This window comes from Homo sapiens, chromosome 11 (assembly GCF_000001405.40).
Source record: "Homo sapiens chromosome 11, GRCh38.p14 Primary Assembly".
NCBI lineage: Eukaryota > Metazoa > Chordata > Mammalia > Primates > Hominidae > Homo > Homo sapiens.
Window position 1 is genome coordinate 113758111 of NC_000011.10, and position 15094 is coordinate 113773204.

Below are 15094 nucleotides of genomic sequence, written 5' to 3' on the forward strand. Positions count from 1 at the left end.
TGCAGTAAGCTGAGATCATGCCATTGCACTCCAGCCTGGGCGACAAAAGCGAAAACTCCATCTCAAAAAAAAACACTTCTAAAAAGTAAGCATGTCAAAAAAAAAATATGAATCTTTGAACCTAACAACCAAAATACATATACCATGACATTACACACCAACCATTATGCGGTGCAGGTTTTACCACTGAAGTTTCCCAGATTGTCTACAGATTTTTATTTAAATTATTCAAAAACCAAAAAAAAAAATAGGAACAGTTGAAAAAAAAAAAACCCAATCCCTTAATAAAAGGGATAATATTTAGGACAATTCTCTTTGATGAATCAAGAGGCCAGACCCTATACTAATACTCTGCAGAGAATATTTTATCATCTTTTCTGTCTTCCCTTTAATACTGGGCCTCAGGAGATTTTGTGTAAATGAAACAAAGTAGCATGCCTTACCAAATGATTTAAGCTTGCTGTGTAGTTCTCCAAGAACAGAAAATGCCAAGAGGACAGAACTGATGGGTGGCATAGGGGTCTTCTCCTCTTTGTGCGATTGTTCAGTGTATAAATGAAGTTCAGTTTGTAGGTAAGATTCCAAACTGCTGGTATCTAAGAAAAAGGAAGAAAAATATCAGCTGTCTCACCAATATGAGATGTTCCCACTTCTATTCCTCAGAGCTCATTCTCTGATATTTCCAATGCAGTTCTATTACAATATACTCCTAATGCAACCAAATATGAATTATGACATACATGTCCTTGGCATCACTTTAAAAAAGGAAATGACTTTTTGAGGTCAGGTGCAGGGGCTCATGTCTGTAATCCCAGCACTTTGGGAGGTCGAGGCGGGAGGATCACTTGAGCCCAGGAGTTCAAGACCAGCCTGGGCAACGTAGTGAGACGCTGTCTCTAACAAAAAATTTAAAAATTGGTCAGGCGTGGTAGCACGCACCTGTGGTCACAGCTACTGGGGGCAGGGTGGGAGAAGTAGTTGGGGCTGAGGCAGAAGGATCGCTTCAGCCTGGGAGTTTGAGACTGCAGTGAACTATGATTGAGCTACTGCACTCCAGCCTGGGCGACAGAGCGAGACCCTGTTTCAAAAAAAAAGAAAAATGAGGTCCTAGTTTCACAGACCTTCCTTTCTATGTTCTTTCTGCCAAACAAGTTTAACAAGTAGGGTGTGTTATAACAAATAATTCAACACACCTGCCCTCTTCTCTTAACTAATATTCTACTTGAGAACAGAATCTAAAATTTTCAGGATAACTCCCTTCAAATACCTGACACACATACACATATGCACATATGTGTCTATGTACACACATATGTATATAATGAATTTGTAGGCCAAAGTGGATATAGGAAAGGGAACAGGGGGAGAAAGTTTCTCTTGAAATACACTAAATTTCAAAATCCAGTGTTGGAAAATACACCAGGTACAATAGCATGTCCTTTAAATACAGCCTCTGAAGTTTTACTCTCAGGGCAAACAACACACCAAAGAGGGCTCATACCCAGAGGTAGGCAGAAAGGCTGACAGCCAAGTAGCATAAATCAAAGCCAGGGCAGAAGTAATCCTATTTCTTCACCTTGCAAAGCACTCCCTAGCTCATTATTTTCCCCAAGGACTGGAAAGAAATTGAGCAAGACCCCTCCTCTACCCACAAGCCTACTGATCCATCTTCTTTCCTAAGCAAGAGAGAGAATGGCTAGAGAGCTCCTTTACACTTTCTAGCCAAGATAAACTGCTAGGATTAGGGCTGTCAGGAACGGGCACGTCCTACAAGGCAATGGAAACTTAATGTGGTCGCAAATTGCTATCATCTCCTCTAGCACACTCTCACCACATGATCCCAACTACCCTAGCATCTTTTCTCACATTTCTAGGGAACAGGACAGCTAAGAGGGATGTAAGGGAAGCAAGGTGAGGGCACTTTAGGGACCCAGATGAGTTGGTCCTAAGAAAGCATCTTGCTAACATGAGTGCTCAATACAGACATGGAAGATTATGAATGAACCCTCATCTACTAATACAAAAATGTAGAATATATTCAGACACTACACTGGTTCAGGCAGATGAAGCAAAGCAGTCCACCTGAGGTCAGCAGCACCTTTTGATGGTGGGAACTTCCATACAATCAGCTTCTGCCACTCTTCTCCAAGGTGATAAAGTATGTTCTGTTTCTGTATTGTGAGCTCCATGCTGAGAGATTTCAATATTTTTAAATCAAAGCATTTTCTGGATTTTAATAACTTCAAGCATTTCTGTGCCTGGTAACGAAATGGAATCACTGTTAAACATTCCATCTGGACTCAGGGCAATTAGAATATATTTGCATAATGATAAAAAATACAAAATTTACTGAAAACAAGAAGAGCACTTATTGCGCATGCTTTGGGGAGAGCATTTAGTACCTCTTCCAGACGCTGAGCACCAGTGACATACTTCTTCTCTGTTAATGCACAATTATATTCTTCAATAGCAGTGGAAAACTGAAAAGTTAAGTATAATATTTTATACATCCTATTATTTCAAGTCTGTTTGCTTTTAAACATTAAGAAATGCTCCCACTTTCCCTCCCCCTCCCCCCTCTAAAAAAAAAAAAAGAAAGAAAAAAAAATATGAAGACAAAAAAACCCATTATAGTCAGGAGATAGCCATTGACTAATGAGACCTTCCCACCACCAAAACACTAAGGTTCAAGTTGAGTTTACTGACCTCCTGCAACTGTTTAAGCAAACTTAGGACAACTGAGTCTCTTTCCAACTGCTGCTTTAAGTCTGTAAATTCACCGGTTGATACGTGAAGATCCCGGCGGACCTAATTCACACATCAAAAACAAGTACTTTTAAGCTATACCATACCTAAGAAATAAAAAATTTAAAGCAAATCAATAAGCTTTACTAGGTCAACATAATTTATGTTGAAATTTAAATGCTAGTTAAGACTGGAATAAAAATCACAGAATGTAGTAGGAAGATACCTTAGAGGTCCAACTAGTCCAAACCCTTATCCTATTGCAAGAATACCCATTCCTCTCAACATAATATCCTCATGTCACCATCTATTCTTAATTTAAGCAGGTATCTTTCATCAGAGAGCTCACCCACCTGGATTACTAGAAAGGTATCCCCACTGCCAAGTGATAACTCATTCTAGAGTCAGACACCTCTATTAGGAATTTCTTTTTTTTAATTGAAACAGGGTCTCACTCTGTTGCCCAGGCTGAAGCGCAGTGGTGCAATCTCAGCTCACTGCAGCCTCAACTTCCCTAGAATCAAGCAATCCTCCCACCTTAGCCCTGCTGAGTAGCCAGAACTACAGGCACGCACCACCACACCTGTCTAATTTTTGTATTTTTTGATAGAGATGGAGTTCTGCCATGTTGTCCAGGCTGGTCTTGAACTCCTGGACTCAAGCGATCTGCCCACCTTGGCCTCCCAAAGTGCTGAGATTGTAGGCATGAGCCATGGCACCCTGTCAGAAAGATTTAATATTGAGGCAGAATCTACCTCTCATTCTGTCCCACCTTATCAATGACTTTACATGATCAATTATTCCCTCTCTCCTAAAATCTCCAATTAACCTCTCCCTAATTTATCTTCATTCATTTGTGAAATATATATTGACTGAATGCCTATAAGTGCATGGCTTATCCCATCAAATTTAAGTATGTTAAAATTTCTCCCATCTTTCAGAAAAAAATCCCTCCCCCTTACCAACCACCCTATTGCTCAGTAACTGTTTTATTTTTCTCCTCCCTCTCACAAACAGCTTCCTGAAATAGTGATCTATATCCATTGTCTTTACATTCTCAACTCTCATTCACTCTATACCTCACTGTGATCTGGTTCCTAACTGTTCTTGCCAAAAAACAAACAAACAAACAAACAAAAACACTAAACTCCTTGTTGCTAAATCCAAAGCAAATATTACTAGTACAGTCGTGTGTCACTAACAATGGGGACGCATTCTAAGAAATGCAGTTAGGTGATTTTGATGTCATGCAAACATCACAGAGTGTACTTACAGGAACCCAAATGGTATGTCCTACTATGTACCTAGGCTATATAAAACTATTGCTCTTAGGCTATAAACCCATACAGCATGTTACTGTACCATTTACACAATGGTAAATATTTGTGTATCTAAACACAGAAAACATACAGTAAAAATACAGCATAAAAATGGTACACCTGTATAGGGCACTTACCATGAATGTAAGTTGCAGGACTAGAAGTTGCTCTGGGTGAGTCAGTGGGTGAGTGGTGAGTGAATGTGAAGGCCTAGGACATTAGTGTACTCTACAGCAGACTTTATAAACACTATACATTTAGGTAACACTAAATTTATTTTTAAAAATTTTCTTTCTTCATAATAAATTAACATTAGCTTACTGTAACATTTTTACCTTATAAACTTATTAACTTTTTTTTTTTTTGAGGAGTCTCACTCTGTCACCCAGCTGGAGTGCAGTGGCACAATCTCGGCTCACTGCAACCTCCACCTCCCAGGTTCAAGCAATTCTCCTGCCTCAGCCACCCAGGTAGCTGGGATTACAGGCACCCACTACCATGCCCAGCTAATTTTTGTATTTTCAGTAGAGATGGGGTTTTATCATGTTGGCCAGGCTGGTCTCGAACTCCTGACCTCAAGTGATCTGCCTGCCTCAGCCTCCCAAAGTGCTGGGATTACAGGTGTAAGCCACTGCACCCAGCTAAACTTTTTAACTCTTGCAATAACACAGCTTAAAACGCAAACACACTATACGCTGTAGAAAAGTATTTTGTGTGTGTTTTTATTTCTTCTAAAAAAAATGGGATACATGTGCAGAACACGCAGGTTTGTTACACAGGTATACATGTGCCATGGTGGTTTGCTGCACCTATTAACCCATCCTCTTAAGTTCCCTCCCCTCACCCCTCGTCCCCCACCAGGCCCTGGTGTGTGTTGTTCCCCTCTTTGTGTCCATGCGTTCTCATTGTTCAACTCCCACTTATGACTGAGAACATGTGGTGTTTAGTTTTCTACTCCTGTGTTAGTTTGCTGAGGATGGTGGCTTCCAGCTTCATCCATATCCCTACAAAGGACATGCTCTCATTCCTTTTTATGGCTGCATAGTATTCCATGGTGTATATGTACCACATTTTCTTTATCCAGTCTGTCATTGATGGGCATTTCGGTTGGTTCCATGTCTTTGCTATTGTAAACAGTGCTGCAATAAACATATGTGTGCATGTGTCTTTATAGCAGAATCATTTATATTCCCTTGGGTATATACCCAGTAATGGGACTGCTGGGTCAAATGGTATTTTTGGTTCTAGATCCTTGAGGAATCACCATACTGTCTTCCACAACAGTTGAACTAATTTACATTCCCACCAACAGTGTAAAAACGTTCCTATTTCTCCACATCCTCTCCAGCATCTATTGTTTCCTGACTTTTTAATAATCGCCATTCTGACTTGCGTGAGATGGTATCTCATTGTGGTTTTGATTTGCATTTCTCTGATTCAGTGATGTTGAGCCTTTTTTCATGTTTGTAGGCCGCATAAATGTCTTCTTTTGAGAAGTGTCTGTTAATATCCTTTGCCCACTTTTTGATGGGGTTGCTTTTTTCTTATAAATATGTTTAAGTTCCTTGTAAATTCTGGATATTAGACCTTTGTCACATGGGTAGATTGCAAAAATTTTCTCCCATTCTGTAGATTGCCTGTTCACTCTGATGATGGTTTCTTTTACTATGCAGAAGCTTTTTAGTTTAATTAGATCCCATTTGTCAATTTTGGCTTTTATTGCAGTTGCTTTTGGCATGTTTGTCAGGAAGTCCTTGCCCATGCCTATGTCCTGAATGGAATTGCCCAGGTTTTCTTCTAGGGTTTTTATGGTTTTGGATTTTACATTTAAGTCCTTAAGCCATCTTGAGTTAATTTTTGTGTAAGGTGTAAGGAAGGGGTCCAGTTTCAGTTTTCTGCATATGGCTAACCAGTTTTCTCAGCACCATTTTACTGAATAGCAGATCCTTTCCCCATTGCTTGTTTTTGTCAGGTTTGTCAAAGATCAGATGGTTGTAGACGTGTGGTGTTATTTCTGAGGCCTCTGTTCTGCTCCATTGGTCTATATGTCTGTTTTGGTACCAGTACCATGCTGTTTTGGTTACTGTAGGCTTGCAGTGTAGTTTGAAGTCAGGTAGTGTGATGACCCCAGCTTTGTTCTTTTTGTTTAGGATTGTCTTGGCTATATGGGTCTTCTTTGATTCCATATGAAATTAAAACAGTTTTTTCTAATTCTGTGAGGAATGTCAATGGTAGTTTGATGTGACAGCATTGAATCTATAAATTGCTTATGGCCATTTTCATGATACTGATTCTTCCTATCCATGAGAATGGAATGTTTTTCCATTTGTTTGTGTCCTCTATTATTTCCTTGAGTAGTGGTTTGTAGTAAAAATATTTTATTTAAATTCATCTTCTATAAGCTTTTTTCTATTTTTAAATTTTTTGTTTTAACTTTGTAAACTTTCCTGTTAAAAACTAAGACACAAACACACACATTAGCCTAGCCCTACAAAGTCAAGATTACCAATAGGTGATAGGAACTTTTCAGCTCTACTATAATCTCACAGGACCACACTTGTATATGTGGTCTGTGGTCGACTGAAATGTATTTAACAGTACTGTGTTAACTTTCCTTCCTTCTGAAACATTCTTTTCCCTTAGTTCCATGAAACTATTCTCTACTGATTTTCCTCTTAGTTCTCTAGCCCTTCCTTTTTCACTCTTTTGGGAGCTTCATTTTCTGACCACTCCGTATATATTGATACTCCTTTCTTCCTGATTGTCTTACTCCAAACCAGTGGTTTTTAACAGGAAGTGATTTTGCCCCAACCTCAACCAGGGACATCTGGCAATGTCTGAAGACATTGGCTGTCACTGGTTTGCACCATGAGAGAGTTCTATTCACATCTAGTGAACAGAGGCCAGGGATACTGCTAACACAATACAATGTACAGGACAGACCTCTACAACAAAGAATTATCCAGCCCAAAACATCAATAGTGACAAGGGTGAGAAACCCTGCTTTATATACTCTTTCTGGGCAATCTTGTCCATTCCCATGGCTTCAATTACTAAGTGCTGCTATCTCGAGTCCACATTATTTTCCTCACGTCCAAACATGTATATGGGTAAGATGATGTGGAAACTGTCCACTAAAATCCATTCTCCTTCTTTCCATATTAATAGCACCCAACTAGATTATATATTTTAGCCTCCTTCACAGTTGGGTGAGACCATGTCTAAGATCCTACCAATGGAATGTAAACAGAAGTAATGTGTACCACTTCCAACTCTGAGTCTTAAGAAAATAGACGTGCCCCCTACATGCCCTCTCTTTTCCCTTTATCTCCAGCTATAACCTGGATACCAAAAGAGACCAGATTGAATCACATAAATAATGACAAAACCCTAAGAGCAATACTTCTCAAACTGTAATGCATATACATATCACTCAGTGACTCTCAGTAAAATGCAGATTCTGATTCACTGGGTCTGGATTGAGGCCTGAGATCCTGCATTTCTAATAAGCTATCAGGTACTGCCAAAGCTGCTGCTCTACAGACTTTTGGAAGACAATTCTCTAGAGGTCTCTCACATTTCTGCACTATCTTACAAGTAAGGCAATTACTGTCTTTAGTTCTGGGCTATCTTTTCAAGAATGTCTATATAGTAAACAGCCTTGGAAGACAGAGATGGTGTCTCCCTCCAAAGCAAAAGGGAGGTATGCTTGCTACCCATTAAAAAGAGTCGGGTTCCTTAAAGTCAGGAGTCCTTTTCTATTAATATAAAGCAATCTACTGCACAATGTCCTACAGGGAGCAGGACTGGGCAACTGATGCAAAAATGCTGATACTCTGGCTACTGCTGTAAGTAATAAACTGTCCTTCATCTCTCACCAAGGAGACTCACGTCTTCTACAAATCCATGAAACTTTCCAGGCACGGTGACTCAAGCCTGTAATCCCAGCACTTTGGGAGGCTGAGGAAGAAGAATCACTTAAACCCAGAAGTTCGAGACCAGCCTGGGCAACATTGTGAGACCCTGTCCCTACCAAAAAATTTAGCTGGGCATGATGGCTTATACCTGTAGTCTCAGCTACCCAGGAGGGTGAGGTGAGAGAATCAAATGAGCTCAGGAGGTTGAGGCTGCAGTGAGCCTTGACTGTGCCACCCCACTCCAGCCTAGGCAACAGAGTGAAACCGTCTCAAAAAAATAAAAAATAAGAATTTTTAGGCTGGGCGCGGTGGCTCACGCCTGTAATCCCAGCACTTTGGGAGGCCGAGGCGGGTGGATCACGAGGTCAGGAGATCGAGACCATCCTGGCTAACATGGTAAAACCCCGTCTCTACTAAAAAATATTTTTAAAAATTAGCCAGGTGTGGTGGCGGGTGCCTATAGTCCCAGCTACTCGGGAGGCTGAGGCAGGAGAATGGCCTGAACCCGGGAGGCAGAGCTTGCAGTGAGCCGAGATCGTGCCATTGTACTTCAGCCTGGGTGACAGAGCGAGACTCCATCTCAAAAAAAAAAAAAAAAAAAAAAAAATTAATTTTTAAAAATTAAAAAAAAAAAAATCCATGAGGCTGGGTATAGTGGCTCACGCCCGTAATCCCAGCACTTTGGGAGGCAGAGGTGGGTGGATCACTTGAGGCCAGGAGTTTGAGACTAGTCTGGCCAACATGGTGAAACCCTGTCTCTACTAAAAATACAAAAATTAGCCAGGCATGGTGGCACACGCCTGTAATCCCAGCTACTTGCGAGGCTGAGGCAGGAGAATTGCTTGAACCCAGGAGGCAGAGGTTGTGGTGAGCCTAGATCGCACCACACACTTCAGCCTGGGCAACAGAGTAAGAATCTGTCTCAAAAAAAATTTTTTTAAAGAATCCATGAAACTTTAGCAGGCTAACTTACCGACTTTCAAGCAAGTTAAAATCCTAGATCCCCTTCAATTCTTGACACAGACTATACTAGAATAGCTGGGCCTTAGATTGTGGAATCAGCCTGCTTACCAAACTACGATGATTAAAAAAAAAAAAAAAAGGATCTTGTTTGAGCCACTGCATTTCAAGGTATCTCTTTTTATTTATTTTTTTTTACAACAGTCTAGCCTTCACCTTAATATAATCCAATTGCCTGTGAAACTCCATTTGATACCCCATAGGCACCTTAAATTTAAATTCCTCAAATCTCTCACAAAAACCTGCTTTCTCTAGATTCTCTGTCAGTGAATGGAATGAAACCATGAGCTAGTTCCCCAGTTATCCCTGACTCCTACATTCTTCACTCCCCACATCAACAAGTTCCAAATATCCTCTCTGAAATGTCACTAGGATCCATCAATTTTTCTCCATTCCCACTGCCACTGACTTTAGAGAAAGTCACTACCCTTTTTTTTCCTCGATTATTTTAACTGCCTCTGAACATTTTAACTGCCTTCTCATATCCTGGACTCATTTCCCTCAAGTTCTTTCTTCAAACTGCAAGCAGAATAGGATTCCGGAAATTCAAATCTGATGTCACTCTCTTGCTTAAAAACCTCTATGGGTTCCACAGGGCCATCAAGATAACGTCCACACTCTTTATCATGTTACTACTAACCTGATATGCAAGGCCCTTGCTTACCTTTCTAATTTCATCTTATGTCCCTTCCCACCAAAATCCCACATTTGTCTTATGGAATACTTGTAGCTCCCCAACAGTGACATCTCTCTATTACCTCCATGCCTCTGCCTACCTAAAACTTATGGCTACTTACAACACTCTTCCTTCCCCTGTTGCCTATCACTTCCCGTCTTGGTTTGGATGCCATTTCCTATAGGAAGCCATCCTTAGCTATATCTCCTCTCTCTAACTGTATTACTCCTATTTATTGCTGTGGCACACTATTACCAGGCACGAGATTCACACCTTGAAATAAAAAACATTCTTATTCAGCAACTATTACACTGCCTGGCACCTTTTAAGTGCAGAATAAATATACCAAATGCCTGAATAAACTTCTAACATACACCTATTGAAAAAATTCTCTATTATGAACCATAAATTTGAATATTTCTCCCATATGACAGAGCTTCAAATATTGAAAATGTTTCTTCCCAAGGCTAAACATCCTCAGTTTATTTCACAGTTCTTCAAATGGTACAGTGTTCAGGGCTAAACCTTCTCATCCAGACCAGCCATCTTTCAAAATAACAACAACCAAAACTAAATAAATTTCAACAGCCAGGGTGTGGCCAGTAAAAGGTACAGAGAGCCAATTACTGTCTTGTTCCAGACACTTCATTTCTAATAGCACAGTCTAATGTTACACTATTGATATTGACTCCCTAATCAATCAACTAATTACAAATGCACTCTGGGGATATTTTTTGAACTGTGCCAGAGGTGCAAAGTAACAGATTGATCCACTCACTTTGGCCACCACAAAGTGCTGGGATTACAGGCATGATGCACCGGGCCTGGTCAAATTTTCTTCCATAAAAAATAAGTTATTTAAATTGCACTTTTGGAAATACTTCTATTTCAGAATTGAAGTCACCCTACAATCATTTAGTTCAATCTCCATTTACCAATCAGAAAAGTGAGGGTTTAAAAAGTTGTACACAATTAAGCTGTCTTAGCAATCAGGAAGCTGAACCACCTCCCTACAAACCTACCCAATATAACAAATTATCCTTACCTCACTCTCTATCCTGGATTTCAGCAGGTCAATGTCTTCAGATAGCTTATCCACCTGGGTAATCAGGCCCTGCGCGCTCTGCATGCTAGGCAGGAATTCACTGTACTTCTTGCTAATCATATTGCACACCTCACCCTAAAATATAAAACAGAATTATATTAAAAGACAGTGAAATGAGTAGAGAACTCTAATAAGAATATATTCATCTTCCACAAGGCATTTTCCATGTTAGAACCTTCTTGCCAATTGCCTATACCCATTCACTTTCCCTCCAAGCCAATGAGTTTATTTCAAAAACACATTTCTCCCACCATGAGGGGTCTCATAACATTATTAGGGTGAAAGAAGACAACAATATCAAACATCACTATGTACTCCAAGAGTATATACAACTATTACTGGTCGATTAAAAAATTAAAAAAAAAAAAGGAAGACAATGATCACCAAACCCCAACGGCGCCCAAGACTTGTACAAATGCTGGAAAAGAGAAAAGGTGGAGCCAGAAGTTCTCATATTGAACTATATCAGACTGTGGTCACCAATTTTAATCATAAATCTAATAGAAAATAAATGGATAAATTAAATCCATAATCTGTATATCTCAATCAATTTCTATTTTCTTGCCTATAATATTTTATGGCCTGATCTTAAAACCCTACATTGATTTGACTTTCATCATCTCCTTTAATACAAAGTAACTTAAACAAAGTACTGAATACTGTGTATTGAATTATTTAATACCTTGAAAGATACAAGGATAAATTATGGGTCCTTCTCTGGGGTGGTCGTGCAGGCAGTAGATGCGGGAAGCCGGACTCCAGGCATCATGTACTACAAATTTAGTGGCTTCACGTTTGAGTTGGTGGGAGCATGGACTTCAGAGGCCTATAGCCCATAAGGATTAATGCCTGTGGTTTCCACAGAAGCACCACCTATCATATTTGCCATACCAACTAAGCTGACTTCTGATTCCACTGCATATAATTTTGCTAGGAAAAACAAAGTTCCAGAGCTGCAGAAGTTTCTCCAGAAAGCTGATGATGTGCCCATCCACCTGAAATGAGGCTTCCCTGACCAAATGCTATACTGGACCACCATGGTGCTGACTGTGGGTGGGATACTGCCTGATCACCCTCTACATGGCTTCACAGCCCCAAAACAAATGAGTTAGCACCAAAACAAATGAGGACTGGTTTGCTTTTTGGCATAAACCTTTTGAATTTTCTTTTTCATTGTTTCTGTTAAATTTCTTTTTTTTTTTTTTTTTTTTTTTGAGATGGAGTCTCGCTCTGTCATCCAGGCTGGAATGCGGTGGTGGAATCTTGGCTCACTGCAACCTCCACCTCCCGGGTACAAGCGATTCTCCTGCCTCAGCCTCCCAAGTAGCTGGGACTACAGGCATGCGCCACCACGCCCAGCTAATTTTTGTATTTTTAGTAGAGACAGGGTTTCACCATGTTGGCCAGGCTGGTCTCGAACTCCTGACCTCAGGTGATCCGCCCACCTCGGCCTCCAAAACTGCTGGGATTATAGGTGTGAGCCATAGTGCCCAGCCTAATTTTTTTTTTTTTTTTTTTACTTGGATGATACATGTTTGCAAGAAAAACAGATATGAAGACAGTATTTTGGCTTGCTTATGAGATGCATATGGCTTGTCAGAGCTCATTCAACAGTTAAAGCCATTGTTTAAAGAAATGATGCATCCCGGCATTGTGGCTCACACCTGTAATCCCAGCACTTTGGGAAGCCAAGGCAGGTGGATCACTTGAGGTCAGGAGTTCAAGAATAGCCTGGCCAACATGGTGAAAACCCATCTCTACTAAAATACAAATAAATTAGCCGGTCGCGGTGGTGGGCGCCTGTAGTCCCAGCTACTTGGGAGGCTGAGGCAGGAGAATCACTTGAACCTAGAAGGCAGAGATTGCAGTGAGCCAATAACTCGCCACTGCATTCCAGCCTGGGCGACAGGGCGAGAGAGACTCTACCTCAAAAAAGAAAAAAAAAAAAAAAGAAATGATGCTGCACTCTGTGTTTGTGCTCCTGATTTCCCTGCAGGTTCTAGATGAAGGTTGCACGTTGCACACAGGCTCATTAACGTCAGTCTGTACTTCCTCAAGTCGGGGACTTGAGGATGCTATTTTTTTTTTTTTTTTTTTTGAGACAGAGTCTCACTCCGTCGCCCAGGCTGGACTGCAGTGGTGGAGCAATCTCACCTCACTGCAATTTCCACTTCCCGGGTTCAAGCGATTCTTCTGCCTCAGCCTCCAGAGTAGCTGGGATTACAGGCGCCCACCACCACACCCGGCTAATTTGTGTATTTTTAGTAGAGAAGAAGTTTCACCATGTTGGCCAGGCTGATCTGGAGCTCCTGACCTCAGGTTATCTACCCACCTTGGCCTCCCAAAGTGCTGGGATTACAGGCGTGAGCCACCGCACCTGGCTGAGGTTGCGTTTTGAGCATAGGGTACAGAAGCCTTTCTGGATTTGGATGTGGCTGAGGAAAGAAGACAGAAGCCAAGGCCATGCACATAAAATGAGGGGTTTGAGTTAGTACTTACCTGGGCTGGAGTGGGGGCAGGGGGTCCATCTTACAGTAAAATCTTAAAAGAAATTATTTTTAGCCTGTCTCTATTCCTTGGGTGGTTCATTTCAAAGGGTTATTTGCCTCATTCCATATCTTCAGTGAAATCTTACGTGTAATTGTGTGTATGTATTCCACCATGGGAAGAGAGAACACCTGTTTAGTGTTGCACTTTAGACTGGTGTCTTGTTTTGTTAATGCAGCTGTGCCACAAATTCTCCTTTATCTTTTAAAAATGTGATGGCTTTAAATTGATTTTGTTTTTCTTTTTGAGATGGAGTCTCACTCCGTCCCTCGGGCTGGAACGCAGTGGCACAATCTCGGCTCACTGCAACCTCAACCTCCCAGGTTCAAACGATCCTCCTGCCTCAGCCTCCAGAGTAGCTGGGGATTACAGGCGCACACCACCACGCCTGGCTAATTTTGTTAAATTATTATTTTGACAGAGGAATAAATACATGAATTAAAAAAAAGAACAAATTATGCTTGCCCTCAAATTCCTACGTAGTAAAGATACTATATACTTGAGCAACAAGAATACAGGACTGAAATGTAATACAGCAACAAAGTTACAAAGCCTTCCAGGAGCACAAATGAGAAAGAGATCCCCTCTCCCTGAGGGAAGATAAAGATTTTTTTTTATGCAGGAGACATTTGAAATGGAACTTGAAAAATGGGTTTGAAAAATACTACAGGTAAAGATGGAAAAATGGCAACATAAGCAAAATATGGGATTAAAAAAGGGAGGGAGAGCAGAGAAAGTAATTCTCAATTGGCTGAAGATTCAAGTTGGTAAAGGAAACTAGTGAAAGCAAAGAAAGGCATGTTGGGTCCAGAACACGCAGGAGCTAGGGTCGCTTGCCATGCTAGAGTAACTTAAAAACCTGTCCTCTTTCCATCACATTAAACAGTGGTGAAAAATCCGAAAGCCATATTAAAGAAGAGATGTCAGGGATATGACTACTTAAAATTCAGGAAACTACTTTTGTAAAATCAAGAGCTGTTAGGAAGGGTTATACCTGTGCCCTTATGGTGTGTGGCAAACTTGCTCCCTCGAAACCCTACTTGACTCAGATACACAAAATTTTAAATGAAAGCAACTGAAGATGTGGACAAATACTGGCAAGGTAACAATATCAGTACAAAGCAAAACTGTGTGTGGCTACGTGCTTCCAGTTTTTGTATCAATCTCAAGGCAGCAACGTTTACGTAGGTACCAATGACACTCAGCACAGCTTCATGTGCTTGTAGATGAAGTTTTAAAACCACATTAAGAGGCCGGAGACGGTGGCTTACACCTGTAATCCCAGCACTTTGGGAGGCCGAGGCGGGTGGATCACCTGAGGTCAAGAGTTCGAGACCAGTCTGGCCAACATGGTGAAACTCCGTCTGTACTAAAAATACAAAAAAAAAAAAAAAAAAATTAGCCAGGCGTGGTGGCACGCGCCTGTAATCTCAGCTACTCGGGAGGCTGAGGCAGGAGAATCGCTTGAACCCGGGAGGCAGAGGTCGCGGTGAGCCGAGATCACTCCAGCCTGGGCGACAGAGCAAGACTCCATCTCAAAAGATAGATAGATACATAAAAATAAAAACATACTGAGGGTTTGGGTTTGTTTTTTTTTTAATGTCGGGGAGGAGAAAGGTGCAATCCTCCAGGCTATTTTATTCATCAACAAATCAAGGAGTGGGTGGAGGAAATAAACACTCATCGATGGAAGAAGGGGAAGGGGGATCCTGTCTTTTCTATTCCTCTCCTGCGCTCGCTCCCTAGCTTCCTCGGAGCTTCCAGT

General features: G+C 41.0%; 1 protein-coding gene and 1 pseudogene across 2 annotated transcripts in view; one reads left to right on the forward strand and one right to left on the reverse strand.

Annotated features, from left to right (window-relative positions):
- The window catches only part of ZW10 (zw10 kinetochore protein), a 40506-nt gene that overhangs the window by 24924 nt on the left and 488 nt on the right, over nt 1-15094 (reverse strand). For both annotated transcript variants that reach the window (XM_017018558.3, NM_004724.4), the window contains exons 2-6: nt 10723-10857; nt 2707-2808; nt 2403-2480; nt 2099-2258; nt 444-596 (exon numbers count right to left, since the gene is read on the reverse strand). In XM_017018558.3, the coding sequence (XP_016874047.1) occupies nt 444-596; nt 2099-2258; nt 2403-2480; nt 2707-2808; nt 10723-10857 (628 nt within the window). The remainder of the gene's footprint in view (nt 1-443; nt 597-2098; nt 2259-2402; nt 2481-2706; nt 2809-10722; nt 10858-15094) is intronic.
- On the forward strand, nt 11494-11753 carry LOC100288385 (cytochrome c oxidase subunit 7A2 like pseudogene; annotated as a pseudogene).